The sequence below is a fragment of the Homo sapiens genome, chromosome 2 (assembly GCF_000001405.40).
Source record: "Homo sapiens chromosome 2, GRCh38.p14 Primary Assembly".
NCBI classification, from domain to species: Eukaryota; Metazoa; Chordata; class Mammalia; order Primates; family Hominidae; genus Homo; species Homo sapiens.
The window spans coordinates 241807142-241821388 of NC_000002.12; the positions used below are offsets into that span (position 1 = coordinate 241807142).

General features: G+C 64.0%; 1 protein-coding gene and 1 long non-coding RNA gene across 6 annotated transcripts, besides 15 other annotated features; one reads left to right on the forward strand and one right to left on the reverse strand.

Moving 5' to 3' along the window:
• Positions 1-859: part of a minisatellite, noted in NCBI's record as "CEB1 (D2S90) VNTR, 39 nucleotide repeat", that runs on past the window's edge.
• Positions 1-998: part of a repeat instability region, noted in NCBI's record as "repeat instability region; both inter-allelic and intra-allelic events contribute to instability of this region", that runs on past the window's edge. NCBI's record gives the evidence for it as "EXISTENCE:polymerase chain reaction evidence [ECO:0000082][PMID:9628885]".
• Positions 1-1889: part of a meiotic recombination region, noted in NCBI's record as "meiotic double-strand break mapped by DNA meiotic recombinase 1 chromatin immunoprecipitation followed by single-stranded DNA enrichment and sequencing in the germ cells of some male individuals with the PRDM9 A/A, PRDM9 A/B and PRDM9 A/C genotypes", that runs on past the window's edge. NCBI's record gives the evidence for it as "EXISTENCE:chromatin immunoprecipitation-seq evidence [ECO:0000229][PMID:25395542]".
• Positions 75-87: a nucleotide motif, noted in NCBI's record as "nucleotide motif; similarity to the predicted 13-mer PRDM9 A binding motif (LD hotspot motif), CCNCCNTNNCCNC". NCBI's record gives the evidence for it as "COORDINATES:motif similarity evidence [ECO:0000028][PMID:19165926]".
• Positions 309-321: a nucleotide motif, noted in NCBI's record as "nucleotide motif; similarity to the predicted 13-mer PRDM9 A binding motif (LD hotspot motif), CCNCCNTNNCCNC". NCBI's record gives the evidence for it as "COORDINATES:motif similarity evidence [ECO:0000028][PMID:19165926]".
• Positions 386-398: a nucleotide motif, noted in NCBI's record as "nucleotide motif; similarity to the predicted 13-mer PRDM9 A binding motif (LD hotspot motif), CCNCCNTNNCCNC". NCBI's record gives the evidence for it as "COORDINATES:motif similarity evidence [ECO:0000028][PMID:19165926]".
• Positions 468-480: a nucleotide motif, noted in NCBI's record as "nucleotide motif; similarity to the predicted 13-mer PRDM9 A binding motif (LD hotspot motif), CCNCCNTNNCCNC". NCBI's record gives the evidence for it as "COORDINATES:motif similarity evidence [ECO:0000028][PMID:19165926]".
• Positions 511-523: a nucleotide motif, noted in NCBI's record as "nucleotide motif; similarity to the predicted 13-mer PRDM9 A binding motif (LD hotspot motif), CCNCCNTNNCCNC". NCBI's record gives the evidence for it as "COORDINATES:motif similarity evidence [ECO:0000028][PMID:19165926]".
• Positions 550-562: a nucleotide motif, noted in NCBI's record as "nucleotide motif; similarity to the predicted 13-mer PRDM9 A binding motif (LD hotspot motif), CCNCCNTNNCCNC". NCBI's record gives the evidence for it as "COORDINATES:motif similarity evidence [ECO:0000028][PMID:19165926]".
• Positions 667-679: a nucleotide motif, noted in NCBI's record as "nucleotide motif; similarity to the predicted 13-mer PRDM9 A binding motif (LD hotspot motif), CCNCCNTNNCCNC". NCBI's record gives the evidence for it as "COORDINATES:motif similarity evidence [ECO:0000028][PMID:19165926]".
• Positions 706-718: a nucleotide motif, noted in NCBI's record as "nucleotide motif; similarity to the predicted 13-mer PRDM9 A binding motif (LD hotspot motif), CCNCCNTNNCCNC". NCBI's record gives the evidence for it as "COORDINATES:motif similarity evidence [ECO:0000028][PMID:19165926]".
• Positions 749-761: a nucleotide motif, noted in NCBI's record as "nucleotide motif; similarity to the predicted 13-mer PRDM9 A binding motif (LD hotspot motif), CCNCCNTNNCCNC". NCBI's record gives the evidence for it as "COORDINATES:motif similarity evidence [ECO:0000028][PMID:19165926]".
• Positions 792-804: a nucleotide motif, noted in NCBI's record as "nucleotide motif; similarity to the predicted 13-mer PRDM9 A binding motif (LD hotspot motif), CCNCCNTNNCCNC". NCBI's record gives the evidence for it as "COORDINATES:motif similarity evidence [ECO:0000028][PMID:19165926]".
• Positions 831-843: a nucleotide motif, noted in NCBI's record as "nucleotide motif; similarity to the predicted 13-mer PRDM9 A binding motif (LD hotspot motif), CCNCCNTNNCCNC". NCBI's record gives the evidence for it as "COORDINATES:motif similarity evidence [ECO:0000028][PMID:19165926]".
• Positions 956-968: a nucleotide motif, noted in NCBI's record as "nucleotide motif; similarity to the predicted 13-mer PRDM9 A binding motif (LD hotspot motif), CCNCCNTNNCCNC". NCBI's record gives the evidence for it as "COORDINATES:motif similarity evidence [ECO:0000028][PMID:19165926]".
• Positions 1174-3555, reverse strand: LOC124905349 (uncharacterized). The gene is made up of 2 exons (XR_007088398.1): positions 3326-3555; positions 1174-2227 (listed from the first exon to the last, which is right to left on the reverse strand). It is a non-coding gene; the product is annotated as an uncharacterized LOC124905349 (long non-coding RNA).
• Positions 2052-10272, forward strand: NEU4 (neuraminidase 4). Of its 5 annotated transcripts, NM_001167602.3 has the most exons (5): positions 4255-4320; positions 6192-6372; positions 7341-7544; positions 7751-8006; positions 8910-10272. In NM_001167602.3, the coding sequence occupies exons 3-5, from the start codon at positions 7344-7346 to the stop codon at positions 9905-9907; spliced, it is 1455 nt and encodes a 484-aa protein (NP_001161074.1). In that variant the 5' UTR covers positions 4255-4320; positions 6192-6372; positions 7341-7343; the 3' UTR covers positions 9908-10272. The 5 variants fall into 5 exon arrangements, with proteins under 5 accessions (NP_001161073.1, NP_001161072.1, NP_001161074.1 ...); NM_001167601.3 differs by lacking the exons at positions 4255-4320; positions 6192-6372 and adding an exon at positions 2052-2133 and having other exon boundaries at positions 7338-7544; NM_001167600.3 differs by lacking the exons at positions 4255-4320; positions 6192-6372 and adding an exon at positions 2052-2133.
• The last annotated feature ends 3975 nt before the right edge of the window (positions 10273-14247 follow it).

Here is a 14247-nt window from a genome sequence, read left to right on the forward strand (position 1 = left end):
CCTCCCCCCTCAGCCCAGGGACCTCCGCAGGCCACCTTCCCTCCCCCCTCAGCCCAGGAACCTCCGCAGGCCACCCTCCCTCCCCCCTCAGCCCAGGAACCTCCGCAGGCCACCTTCCCTCCCCCCTCAGCCCAGGAACCTCCGCAGGCCACCTTCCCTCCCGCCTCAGCCCAGGGACCTCCGCAGGCCACCTTCCCTCCCCCCTCAGCCCAGGAACCTCCGCAGGCCAGCTTCCCTCCCCCCTCACGCCAGGGACCCGGGAAGAGCACCTTCCCTCCCCCCTCAGCCCAGGGACCTCCGCAGGCCACCCTCCCTCCCCCCTCAGCCCAGGGACCTCCGCAGGCCACCTTCCCTCCCCCTCAACCCAGGGACCTCCGCAGGCCACCCTCCCTCCCCCCTCAGCCCAGGGACCTCCGCAGGCCACCTTCCCTCCCCCCTCAGCCCAGGGACCTCTGCAGGCCACCTTCCCTCCCTCCCCCCTCAGCCCAGGGACCTCTGCAGGCCACCCTCCCTCCCTCCCCCCTCAGCCCAGGGACCTCCGCAGGCCACCCTCCCTCCCCCCTCAGCCCAGGGACCTCTGCAGGCCACCTTCCCTCCCCCCTCAGCCCAGGGACCTCTGCAGGCCACCTTCCCTCCCCCCTCAGCCCAGGGACCTCCGCAGGCCACCCTCCCTCCCCCCTCAGCCCAGGGACCTCCGCAGGCCACCCTCCCTCCCCCCTCAGCCCAGGGACCTCTGCAGGCCACCTTCCCTCCCTCCCCCCTCAGCCCAGGGACCTCTGCAGGCCACCCTCCCTCCCTCCCCCCTCAGCCCAGGGACCTCCGCAGGCCACCCTCCCTCCCCCCTCAGCCCAGGGACCTCTGCAGGCCACCTTCCCTCCCCCCTCAGCCCAGGGACCTCTGCAGGCCACTCTCCCCTCTTAGCCCAGGGACCTCGGCAGGCCACCCTCCCTCCCTCCCTCCCTCCCCCCTCAGCCCAGGAAAGGCACAGGAGAGGATCCTGCCAGGTAAAGGGAAAGTGGCCCGGGAGGAGCCCACGTGCCAACAACAGGAGTCCCAGAAGACAGAAAAGACCACAGATGAGAAAGCAGTTCACGCAGAGAACAAAACGTTCCCGGACCAAACCCAGGGTCGGGTTGCTCATTCCCGAGGCCCGATAGCGAGATGCAGATGAACTGGGGAAGAAGAGGGATTTTATTTCTGTAACTGGTTACAGGGAGAAGGCCTGGAAATGATCGCCAGACCAACTCCAGATTACAGTTTTTCCAGAGCTTACACACCTTCTAAGCTCTGTGTCTCCGTGTCAGTGTGCATTCGTCTAAAGACGTACGTGATTCAATTCTTCTCATCTCTAACTGAGGTCTGGTCCTGAAGATCTTCCTCTGAAGACTCAGTAAATTTACTTGATCTAAATGGGCCCAGGTGTTTACCCTTATCTTGTCTTCTGCTAAATCATGGAGGTTTGGGGAGTTCCTTCTCCACTTGTTTGTGGAGGCCTGGGGAGTTTTTTCAGACCCCCAGTAAAACTTGTTTAATCCTAAACGGGTCCTGGTCTCGTCATGCTTCAAGGCCCAAGAAAGCCCTGGGCAAAACTCTTGATGGGCTTTTGTTACGTCCCAGCCCTCGTGTGAGGGCGCTGGCTCTCAGCTTTCAGGATTTCACTTCACCCTCAGTCAGTGCTGAACAGTTGTCGCGGAGGCCTGCGTGAGTGAGGCCTGGCGTGCCCTGGAAACATTCCCCTGAGTTGAAGAAAGACTCACAGTTTTCAGCATCCAGTTACCCTCTGAGCATCAGGCAGAACCCGCCGGCCCCAAAACCAGGCCCCCTTGGCACATGTGGGCCCGAGTGAGTCCAGCATGAGGAGGTGCCGCTTCTGAGCAGAGCTCAGGTTGTCTCTGGGAGGAGGAGCGAGCGTTGGGTGCGGTGGCCGCTGCGTTGGCAGCCCTGTCCCTGAGCGGAACGCAGGTCGTCTCTGGGAGGAGGAGCGAGGGTTGGACGCAGTGGCCGCTGCGGTGGCAGCCCTGTCCCCAGGCGTGGACTCTGCCCTCAGCTTCACAGTCACCGAAGAAATGAAGTTACAGGAGGGGCACACCGTCCTTTTGTCTCTGCCTTTGAGGTTGGCGGGAACTGAAACTGGTACGGTCTTTTTGAATAGAAATTTGGGGTCTTTCTGGCGACGTAAAACTGTGTGTAGTTTGCAGTAGAGAGTGTTGAGAACAGCCTGTCCGGGCTGTGCATTGAGAAGGGGCGGTTAAAATGCTGCCACGTCGTGCAGCCCATAAAAGGGGGACACAGAGTAGCCGAAACTGCTCTTGGGGGAGGGGGCACGTCCCAGCCTTCCGTGTGATGCTGGGGTCAGCGTGGCCCCTCGGCTGCCAGAGCTCACGAAGACGGTTAAGGAAAGCTTCCCCCGGGTGGCTTTCACCCCACGGGGACAGAGCCCCAGATGGGCCCAGGGACCTCTGAGCAGCCGTGGGCCATGGGGTGACAGTTGGGGGTTGGTGGGACCCGTGGCTGTCATATACCCTGGGTAGACGGTGGCTTGTCCAGGCAGAGATGCCCAGGGGAAGTGGGTGGCACCTGAGGGCAGATCTGACTTTTCAAGAGAAGCTGAAAACACGGGTTTTTCTGTGAAATCTCTAGATTGAAAACAGTGGGCTTGAAAAGCCTGGAGCAGAGGGAGTGAGGCCTGCCCCCCACCCCAGCTCTGCGGGCACACCCTGGCCAGACAGCCCTGCTCCAGACCCGGCCTGTGTCTCAGGGTGGCCCAGGAGGGGACTTTGCAAGGTGACGTGGGGCTTGGAGGTCCCGTTTCCCTGTAAGCCTGGGTACTTAGGGGATGGCCCTGGTCAGACTCCACCAGTCCCAGACTTGGGGGACACGAGAAGGGAGATGGGCCACCCAGTTCTGGTTGGGCTGGGGTGGGGCTTCTGAGGGGTGGGGAGGTTGTCCCTTCCCACCCACCTGCCCCTGCCCCAGGATTCTCGGCTGTGAGCAGGAGGATGTGTACGATGGCCAAGTTGCCTGGACTGGGTCCGCCCCTCCTGGGGCTGTGAGTGCACAGGACACTGGGCCCACAGGCACCTCTGGGGCTCTGTCCCCGTGGGGTGAAAGCCACTTGGGGGAAGCTTTCCTTAACCGTCTTCACGAGCTCTGGCGGCCGAGGGGCCACGGGGGGCATTCAGATGAGTCAGAAGGAGCTGGGGCCCACCCCTCCTGCTTCCTCGCCGCCCCCCTCCCAGCTGCCCCCAGTAAATCCCCTCAGGCCCCTAGGACCTGGAGGGACGCGGCAGGTTTATCATCTCAGCCTGGAAACCACGTGACCTACCTGTTTCCCACCACAGCGCCCCAGGTTTCAGAAGCAGCTGAGGATGCCCTTCGCAGGGGAGGGAGGGACAGTGAGAAAGGAGGGTGTTCAGGGCCCAGGGATCCCCCACGGAGGCTGCCCCATCAGAACATACCGGGCACCTGTGGCCTCCTCTGAGATTCTGGCCTGGGCAGTGGTCATTTGAGCATTGGTTACCAAGGCTGCCTCTGAAATGGCAGGCTGGGGGCAGGCCAGCGTGAAAGGGACTGGCAGGAGTCCTGCGGGGACAGGCTGGGGGCAGGCCAGCGTGAAAGGGACTGGCAGGAGTCCTGCGGGGACAGGCTGGGGGCAGGCCAGCGTGAATGGGACTGGCAGGAGTCCTGCGGGGACAGGCTGGGGGCAGGCCAGCGTGAATGGGACTGGCAGGAGTCCTGCACGGCAGCTGTGCTGGGGAGGGGTCACCCTGGGCCCTGAGAGGCACAGGACATTGCGATGGGGTGCTGGCCTGCCAGGAGCACAGATACAGAGCTAGAGCCCAGTGAGGCCTGTGCTGTGAGGGGCTGTGCTGTGCCAGGGGAGGCCCCGCACCCGGGAAGCCCAGAGGAGAGTGTGCACTCACGGAGCCCTCCTGGCAGGGCCGCGTCTCTGGAGCAGCAGACCCGTGTCCCTCTGGGAGGTCAACTGCGGCCTCACAGCTGGGCCTGTCCCAGCACAGCCCTTGTTGGAGGGCGCACCCCCGTGTCCTCAGCACCCCAGTGTTGAGTGCCTTGACCTGCAGAGGGGAGCCTGTGCTGGTCCCGGGCGTCTGTGTGGCTCCTGGGTGCCCATCTGCACCCCTGGCCCTGCTCTGGGCTTCAGTGGAGCCGTGCCACCGTGGGAGTGTCCAGGGTCCTGACGTAGCCCTGAGACGTGGCCAGCTCCCTGGCCTGCTGCCCGCACAGTGGGCCCTTGTCTCTGCTCTGGGTCAGGCGAGGCAGCCACCCATGATGAGCTCTGCAGCCTTCCCAAGGTGGCTGGTGAGTCCCTGCCCTTTGCACCCCCAGCACCCTCACCCCTCTACCCGGGCGCCCGGGGTCAGGACCCGCTCCTGAGGTATCTGTCCAGCTGGCCGCCCCCTCTGTCTGGGGGTGCTGGACGAGTCCCACTCCTTGCCAACCCCAGGGTGGCTCCTCAGCTCTCAAACAAGGGGCGGGCTGCAGGGATTCCGAGGGCCCCTCCAGCAAGAGGTCCCACATGCATCTCCCAATGGGACACTTACCTGGCCCACAGGGTGGGTGTGACACTGAGGGTTCCTGGGGGCAGATTCAGGGCATGGGATGGAGACAGACTGGTTGTGAGGGGCCCAATGCAGGGGGCCGGCCCCAGCCCACAGGGTCGTTCTGCAGATGGGCTGGTCGGGGACGCTCTACCAGGTGAAGGGTCTGTGGTCGGAGTCTTCGCCCTGGCCAGGGCCCAGGACGCTCACGGTGCAGGCTGAGGGTCAGAGCCGCCGAGGGCCCCCTGCCGGGATTCTGTGCAAAGGGCCTCTGCACTTTATGTGGGTGCATGTGAATGCCCCTCGCCAAGATGTTCCTACCCTGCACCTGACACTTCCCACGACAAGAAGTGCTGACCCCAGAGGGTGTGCGCGGACCCCAGAGGGTGTGCGTGGACCCCAGAGGGTGTGTGCGGACCCCAGAGGGTGTGCGTGGAGGGCCTGGTCTGACCTCAAGGCTCTTGGGGCACCCACACAGGATGGGCTGTGAGGGGTTGGCGGGGGTGGGGGGGGTGGTCTGTGATGGCCCCCTGCTGAGCCAGAGTGACCCCTACAACCGGTCCAGGGGTCCACGGACCAGAAGGCCAGGTTCTCCTGGAGGTCCCATCTCCCCTGGGCCTCGGTTTCCCCTTCTGTGACTCCACACCCCCAAGGAGGGCCCTGTCAGGGAGGGCGGGGGGCACTGGTTAATGTCCAGGACATGGCTGTCCCAGTCAAGCCAAACCCCTGGAATGTGCTGAACTGGCTACACTGAGCGGGGCTGGCCTCCGAGACAGAGGGGCCTGCCGAGGACACGGAGGCTCTGTGGAACCCAGGGAACTGGTCACACTGAGGACACGGAGGCTCTGTGGAACCCAGGGCCTGGCCACACTGAGCACGGCTGGTCCCCCAAGACAGAGGGACCTCCTGAGGACACAGAGTCTCTGTGGAACCCAGGGCCTGGCCACATGGAGGACACGGAGGCTCTGTGGAACCCAGGGCCTGGCCGTGGCAAGGAAGCCCCAAGCCAAGTGTGTGTCAGCCTTGTCCTCTCTGTGGGCCTCAGTTTCCCCTCTGTGCAACAAGGGGAGTGACCAGCTGGTTTCTGGAGTCTCCTCCTCTCCCTCTCTGTCCCCAGGGGTGGGCCTGGGCCTCATGTCTGCAGGGGGTGCTGACACCTGCTCCTGTGGTCCGGGCCTTGGGGAGGGAGCCAAGTGCAGAGAGAATGTCTTGCTTGTGCCTGCTCAGCCCAGAGGGACACATGGCGTCTGCACCTGCTTCCCGCTTGGGCACAATTGCCCTTTGAGAGCAGAGCCAGGGGCTTCTTGGGGACGGAAGCTGCTCTCAGAAGCCGCGCACTGGTGGTGGGGGAGCGGCAGGAAGGGGCCGGCCAGCTGTCCTAGCCAAGAGCCTTTCAGGAACCGGTGGCCCAGGGCAGAGGTGGCTGGAGGTGGAGCTGTCTGTTTGGGCCTCAGGTGTCGGGGCAAGGCCTGCTTGGGTTTTACACGAGTGTTGCGCCTTTACCCGGGTCTCTGTCAGTGGGTCCCGCCTGACCCGTGGGTGTGCATGGGTCCCCGTCGTAGGCAGGCGTTCTGCCCTGGCCAGGCGTGGTGTCCGGCATCCGGCCATCTCCCTCCTCCCTCCTTCCCTTAGCCCCGCATCCAGGTGCCCCGTGTGCCCGGCCTGGGCGGCTGGCCGTGGATCTGACCGCTCCTGCATGGTGGAGGACCAGCGTTCCCACTGTCTGCAGCTGTGCCACCTCCCTGTGCCGGGCTGTGCGTGCTCACGCTCGGCTCCGTCTGCCTTTGTGCGATCAGACTGAGAGACCCCCCAGGCAGGTCCCGCCTGCAACAAGCAGACCCCATGCGTGCCCCAAATGCCCCCTCACCCGGGCCCTGCCCTGGTGGGTGTTGCCTGGGAGCAAACTCCCAGAATGGCCGCCGGGCCCCACTCGGCTTTGGAGCTTCTGATTCCTGTGGGCGCTTCTCAGGTCAGGGCCCTGCAGGTGGGAAGCACCAGGCACTGGAATGAGGGCACTGTGGGGCCAGCTGCCTGCAGGCAGGGGTCTGATCACCAAGCACCTGTCCCCTGCAGGATCCCTGGCTGTGGCTCCCCCGATGACGTTCAGGAAGTGGGAGCCGATCCCCTGTCCCCAGAGAGCCCCGTGACTCCCCCGATGACGTTCAGGAAGTGGGAGCCGATCCCCTGTCCCCAGAGAGCCCCGTGACTCCCCCGATGACGTTCAGGAAGTGGGAGCCGATCCCCTGTCCCCAGAGAGCCCCGTGGCTCCCACAGGTCCCTGTGGGCTCACCTCTTTGTGTCTCTGCTGTGGCTTCCACGGTGCTGTGGCCTCTATTCTGGGGACACTGAGCTCCTCCTTGCTCGAGGTTTTGGGTCCTCATTGTCCACATGACCTCCTGCTGGGCGAATTCTGGGATGACCCTGTGTCCTGGGCACATGGCTGGCAGGGTCCCGGGGGCTCTCTGGCCAGCCTCCCCTGCACCCTGGCACCAACCAGCCTGGCCGAGGGTCAGCTCCCAGAGCCGTGTTGAGAGGGGAAGGGGCTGATTCCACAGACATTTGGGGTGGAGTGGGTGCGAGGGAGGGTGGGGGAGGGGCTGCTCCAGATCTGGGGTGAGGGAGTCAGAAACAGGGCTGACCCCAAGGTGGGTACAGGAAGAGGCCCAGGTGTGGGCAGGAGCTGTCTGCACCTCCTGAGCGCATTCCCCAGTCCAGACCGGGAGCGAGTGTGGGGCTCCCTGGGCCTGTCTTGCTGACCTGTGGCCCTGTACTGACCAGCAGAGCATGGGGGTCCCTCGTACCCCTTCACGGACAGTGCTCTTCGAGCGGGAGAGGACGGGCCTGACCTACCGCGTGCCCTCGCTGCTCCCCGTGCCCCCCGGGCCCACCCTGCTGGCCTTTGTGGAGCAGCGGCTCAGCCCTGACGACTCCCACGCCCACCGCCTGGTGCTGAGGAGGGGCACGCTGGCCGGGGGCTCCGTGCGGGTGAGTGAGTGGCCGGGGGCTCTGTGTGGGTGTAGTGGCCGGATCTGCTGGGGCTGCACACCCCGGGATGGGGCGGGGGTGGCGGCGGCAGGCAGATGCCCGAGGTAGAGATGAGCAAACCAGGCTCAGCGATCCTGGGTGCCCTGCGGGGGGCTGTGCCCAGGTCCCTGGACGTCCTGGTCAGCGGAACTTCCTCCTCTGGGCAGTGGGGTGCCCTGCACGTGCTGGGGACAGCAGCCCTGGCGGAGCACCGGTCCATGAACCCCTGCCCTGTGCACGATGCTGGCACGGGCACCGTCTTCCTCTTCTTCATCGCGGTGCTGGGCCACACGCCTGAGGCCGTGCAGATCGCCACGGGAAGGAACGCCGCGCGCCTCTGCTGTGTGGCCAGCCGTGACGCCGGCCTCTCGTGGGGCAGCGCCCGGGACCTCACCGAGGAGGCCATCGGTGGTGCCGTGCAGGGTAGGCGGGCAGGGTGCCGGTCTGGGTCCCTTTGATTGGCCACGGTCCACATGGAAGGGAGATTCCAGCGGGAAATTGCCATTCTGCCCCACCCCTGTCTCCAGCCACAAGGGAACCAACCATCCCTTTCCCCAGGACTGTTCTGCGCCTCCCGTCCCAGGCAAATCCCTCTCCCCAGGACCGTCCTGAGCCTCCCGTCCCAGACAAATCCCTCTCCCCAGGACTGTTCTGCGCCTCCCGTCCCAGGCAAATCCCTCTCCCCAGGACCGTCCTGCACCTCCCGTCCCAGGCAAATGGGTATTGATCACCCCCAGTCACCCAGTGGGCAGGAGCAGGCCCTCTATGGCTGACCCGACTCTCTCTCATCCCCCCCGCTAATCTCTTTATCTGCAGAGGAGAAGGCTGGACGCTGAGGTGTCTCTCAGCTCCCAAACCAACAGCCACCCCGCCCCACCCCTTCCTCTTATTCTTTACTCCCTTCTCACCCTGCCCAGGGCCTGGCCAGGCCTCACCCACAACTTTCCCTCCACCCCATCCTCTGTGGCCACCTGACCCCGGCCCGTGGGAGCTACAGCAGGGAGTGCAGCAGACACATGGCCAACCCAGGGACCCCACTGCAGGGCCTCATGCCCCCCGCCTGCCCTCCGCTCTCTCTGTGTGGGCAGCGCTCACCAGCCTCCCTGGGTGCCGTCCACCTGGGCTCGGCTGCTAAGGGCTGTGAGAGGCTTGTTCAGCCTGGGAGGACTCAGGGCGGCTGGGATGAGTCGTGTGGAAGGGCGGTCAGAGTGCGATGGTCCTAACCCGAGGCACCAGCCCCTCCTTCCCCGTCCCCCTGTGCCTTCCTCCAGCCCCCCGACCTCGGGGACCCAGCAGCCCCTCCCACCTCTGCCCTCCTCCCTGCAGACTGGGCCACATTCGCTGTGGGTCCCGGCCACGGTGTGCAGCTGCCCTCAGGCCGCCTGCTGGTACCCGCCTACACCTACCGCGTGGACCGCCGAGAGTGTTTTGGCAAGATCTGCCGGACCAGCCCTCACTCCTTCGCCTTCTACAGCGATGACCACGGCCGCACCTGGCGCTGTGGAGGCCTCGTGCCCAACCTGCGCTCAGGCGAGTGCCAGCTGGCAGCGGTGGACGGTGGGCAGGCCGGCAGCTTCCTCTACTGCAATGCCCGGAGCCCACTGGGCAGCCGTGTGCAGGCGCTCAGCACTGACGAGGGCACCTCCTTCCTGCCCGCAGAGCGCGTGGCTTCCCTGCCCGAGACTGCCTGGGGCTGCCAGGGCAGCATCGTGGGCTTCCCAGCCCCCGCCCCCAACAGGCCACGGGATGACAGTTGGTCAGTGGGCCCCGGGAGTCCCCTCCAGCCTCCACTCCTCGGTCCTGGAGTCCACGAACCCCCAGAGGAGGCTGCTGTAGACCCCCGTGGAGGCCAGGTGCCTGGTGGGCCCTTCAGCCGTCTGCAGCCTCGGGGGGATGGCCCCAGGCAGCCTGGCCCCAGGCCTGGGGTCAGTGGGGATGTGGGGTCCTGGACCCTGGCACTCCCCATGCCCTTTGCTGCCCCGCCCCAGAGCCCCACGTGGCTGCTGTACTCCCACCCAGTGGGGCGCAGGGCTCGGCTACACATGGGTATCCGCCTGAGCCAGTCCCCGCTGGACCCGCGCAGCTGGACAGAGCCCTGGGTGATCTACGAGGGCCCCAGCGGCTACTCCGACCTGGCGTCCATCGGGCCGGCCCCTGAGGGGGGCCTGGTTTTTGCCTGCCTGTACGAGAGCGGGGCCAGGACCTCCTATGATGAGATTTCCTTTTGTACATTCTCCCTGCGTGAGGTCCTGGAGAACGTGCCCGCCAGCCCCAAACCGCCCAACCTTGGGGACAAGCCTCGGGGGTGCTGCTGGCCCTCCTGACAGGCCTTCTGGCCGTGCCCATGCCCCTTGGGTGCCTGGGGCAGAGGGGTGGAATACGTTGGGGTGCCCCACGATAGCTGTGGGGGGGGCTCTTAGTGCAGGATCCTGTGGATTAGAAACAAGTTGCTCCTCAGAGCTCTCAAGCAGGGACTGCTCTTTAGGAAGGGGAGCAGCGGCTGGGAGTGAGCAGGGCAGGGTGGGGGCAGGGTGGGGGCACGAAGTGGGCCCTGGGTGACCCCCACAGCTCCCTTCCGAGGCTGCAGGGCCAGGCGCGGGACCGCAGGTAGCCCAGGGTGTTGTGGGTGGCAGCACTTGTTTACTGGCTGCTTTCTGGCTCGAAATAAAGGAATCGTGCTTGTGTCGGGGTAGACGTTTCTTTCCTTTTCAGGTTCCAGCCCTGGGGAGGGGAGTTCTGCTGTAGCCCACTTCTCTGACCCCCATCCCAAAATCCCGCTGCCTTAGCAAAGCTCTACTCCTAAATGTCCTGGGGCCAGCAGAGGGAAGGCGGGAGGGAGGAAGTGGCCTCCGCCCCTGGCCTCCGGTGACAGTGATTTGCAAGTGGTCTGCTGTGCTCTCTGAACTTCCTGCTGGAGGAGTAGGAGGTAGGGCCTCTCCCCGCAGAGTTGAACGCCAGGAGGGGGTCACCTTCCAGGACCAGTCCAGTGTCCTGCTCCCCTGACCCCACCCTGGAGGGGGCTTGGGCTCCACTGGGGCTGTTTCCCCAGGGAAGTTCCTTTTTATTTCTTCTCCTTTTATAGTCTTCATTTCTGATGATAAAAGCAACATATGCTTACTGTAGAAAATCTGGAAAACGAGCCGGGCGCGGCGGCTCACGCCTGTAATCCCAGCACTTTGGGAGGCCAAAGCAGGTGGATCACCTGAGGTCAGGAATTCGAGACCAGCCTGGCCAACATGGTGAAATCCCGTCTCTACTAAAAATACAAAAATTAGCTGGATGTGGTGGTGGGCACCTGTAATCCCAGCTACTCGGGAGGCTGGGGCAGGAGAATCACTTTAACCTAGGAGGTGGAGGTTGCAGTGAGCCAAGATTGTGCCACTGCCCTCCAGCCTGGGTGACAGAGTGAGACTCTGAAAAAAAAAAAAGAAAATCTGGAAAATGTAGAAAACTATAAAGAAGAAAGAGAAGTGAGCCCCCGGGCCCCTGTCCCCACGGGCCCTTCCTTCTGGCTTCCTTTCAACGGTCCTGCCCAGCCTGCTGTCACGCCCATGGACGACGGCGCCAGCCGGGGGGTGCACACGTGTGTCCCACCCATGGATGATGGCACCAGCTGGGGGGTGCACACGTGTGTCACACCCGTGGACGATGGCATCAGCCAGGGGGTGCACACGTGTGCCACCTTCTTCCCGGCCCTGAATTGTGTGTGATGGGCTCCTTTGCATGTCTCTGGGTCTGGTCACCCCTTGGGGTGGCTTCGGTGACCACTCCCAAGGGTGGGGACCCACGGCCAGCCCCCAGCAGTGCGGAGCGTCCAGGTGGTCTCTGAGTTGCCGAGGGTCCCCAGGGGAGCAGAGATGACCTCCCCTTGCGGCCCCCTTTTCCCCAGCAACTGCCCTGCCAGGACGGCTGCTGCCTGAGAGGGGACACCACTGGGTTCCAGACGGGGGCAGGATGGGGGCCTGGATCCGGGGCCCCTGACAGCCCTGAGTTCCCACAATCACCCCGGGCCCCTCCCCACCTCAGGCAGCCTCAGCCCCTCATAGGAGGGGCCCGTTGCCCGGGCCCTGGCAGTGCTGGTTTTAGGGGGTCTGTGTCTTAGTCCCTTGGGGCTGCCAAAATGAAATACACAGACCAGGGGCCTTGGAAACAACAGAAATGTATTTATCACGGTTCTGGAGGCTATAAGTCCAAGGTCAAAGTCTGTGATCATGAGGGCAGGCTCCGTGTCTGGTAAGGGCCCAGTTTCCGGCTAGTGGATGGCGGCCTCTGGCTGTGTCACACACGGCGGGAGGGAGAGGTCTCTCCTGGGTCTCCTGTATGGGACACTATCCCATTCATGAGGGCTCCACCCTCCCAGGAGGCCCCACCTCCTGACCTTATCACCCTGGAGTTAATATTTCAACATGGGAATCTGGGGTGCACGTGTAGATCACGTGCTGGGTGCCTTGTGTCACGTGTGTGTCCTGACTTGTGGCCCGTGTGTAGGTCACATGCTGGGTACATTGTGTCATGCATGTGTCCTGGCTCATGGCCCGTGTGTAGGTCGTGTGCTGGGTGCATCCTGTCATGCGTGTGTCCTGGCTCGTGGCCCGTGTGTAGGTTGTGTGCTGGGTGCATCCTGTCATGCGTGTGTCCTGCCTCGTGGTGTGTGTGTAGGTTGTGTTCTGGGTGCATCCTCTCATGCGTGTGTCCTGGCTCGTGGCCCGTGTGTAGGTCGCGTGCTGGGTGCATCCTCTCATGCGTGTGTCCTGGCTCGTGGCCCGTGTGTAGGTCATGTGCTGGGTGCATCCTGTCATGCGTGTGTCCTGGCTCGTGGCCCGTGTGTAGGTTGCGTGCTGGGTGCATCCTGTCGTGTGTGTCCTGGCTCGTGGCCCGTGTGTAGGTCGTGTGCTGGGTGCATCCTGTCATGCGTGTGTCCTGCCTCGTGGTGTGTGTGTAGGTTGTGTGCTGGGTGCATCCTCTCATGCATGTGTCCTGGCTCATGGCCCGTGTGTAGGTCGTGTGCTGGGTGCATCCTGTCATGCGTGTGTCCTGCCTCGTGGTGTGTGTGTAGGTTGTGTGCTGGGTGCATCCTCTCATGCATGTGTCCTGGCTCATGGCCCGTGTGTAGGTCGTGTGCTGGGTGCATCCTGTCATGCGTGTGTCCTGCCTCGTGGTGTGTGTGTAGGTTGTGTGCTGGGTGCATCCTCTCATGCGTGTGTCCTGGCTCGTGGCCTGTGTGTAGGTCGTGTGCTGGGTGCATCCTGTCATGCGTGTGTCCTGCCTCGTGGTGTGTGTGTAGGTTGTGTGCTGGGTGCATCCTGTCATGCGTGTGTCCTGGCTCGTGGCCCGTGTGTAGGTCGTGTGCTGGGTGCATCCTCTCATGCGTGTGTCCTGGCTCGTGGCCCGTGTGTAGGTCGTGTGCTGGGTGCATCCTGTCATGCGTGTGTCCTGGCTCGTGGCTAGCAGGGTCATCACAGTCCACTCTTCTGCCTTCAGATCTGAAGCAAAGGAGCCACAGGCCTCTCTGGGGTTCTGGAAGCCGTGGAGCCCACTGCAGCTCTGCATGGCCCATTCTTCGTCATTCTCTTCTATACTGGGGTGAGCGGCGTCCCCAGCTTCATGTCCCCCTGGAAGCTCAGACTTTGCTACCTTATTTGCAAGTAGGGCCTTTGCAGACGTGATGGAGGTAAGAGGAGGTCATACTGGATTGCAGTGGGTTTAGCCCAGTGACGTCCGTCCTTGTGAGTCACAGACGCAGGGAGGAGCCATGTGAAGGTGGAGGCAGAGGCTGCAGTGATGCCGCCACCAGCCACGGGGGCTGCTCAGAGCTGGAAGAGGCTGAAGGACCCTGCGCTGGAGCCTTCAGAGAGGGTGCGGGCCTGTCACCCTTGGCTTCAGACGGCCTCCAGAGCCGCGAGAGGACGCATTTGCATTGCTTCAGCCGCCAGTCGGTGAGATTTGTTGCGGCAGCCTGGGAAGCAGCACACCTTCCTGCCTTTGCCGTCTGTCCGTCCGTCCGTCTGTCCACATGGGCCTCAGACCCCGGGGGATCCTGGCCGTCACTGCCCGGCCATGTGCAGCCTCGGCCTGTGTCAGACAGACTTGGGCTCGAGGTCCCCAGGAGCTCCGGTCGCCGTGGTGGAGCCTCTCGATGTCTCGGGCTGTCTGCGGCTGGAGCACCCTCTGAGCTGGGGTTGGGTCAGGTCTGAAGAAGGGGCCGGAGCTGGCCCTGCCAAGGGCCCCTCCTAGCAGCCGTGGCCTCCTCAGGTGGGGCCCAGGGCTCCGAGGCCCTGACTCCTCCAGGTCTGGGCAGCTGCTCAGGACCGGGGAAGGCTCTGCCAGGTGTGATGCCCCAGGCTGGGAGAGGGTGTGGCGGGGGGGCTGCCTGGCTCAGGGCAGGTTGAGCCCTTCCTCCTGCCCTCCTGCCACTGCCCCAGCTGTGGCAGGCTCAGGACATCTGGTGTCTGCTGGTGGGGGGGTCGCTGTGCCTGGGGACAGTCCTTCCCCCCTGCTGCACTGGGAGTTCCTCTGGCATCCTGGGAGGCCTGTGCCTCGAGAGAGACCAGCCCCCTAGATTCCTCCCACCACGGGCGGCTCCCCGGCACCCAACCGGCTCCTGAGCCCCTGCCCCACCTCCACATTCCCGATGGCTGCTCTCCCAGCCTCTTTTCCTTCCTTC

What these genes read in the sequence shown, in the direction of transcription:
- NEU4 (NM_001167599.3), top strand. Translation starts at nt 4,288, where the DNA reads ATGATGAGCTCTGCAGCCTTCCCAAGGTGGCTG. An exon ending in CAGCCTTCCCAAGGTGGCTG is followed by an intron (nt 4,321 to 7,337) that starts GTGAGTCCCTGC and finishes TGTACTGACCAG; the next exon opens with CAGAGCATGGGGGTCCCTCG. An exon ending in CATCGGTGGTGCCGTGCAGG is followed by an intron (nt 8,007 to 8,909) that starts GTAGGCGGGCAG and finishes TCCTCCCTGCAG; the next exon opens with ACTGGGCCACATTCGCTGTG.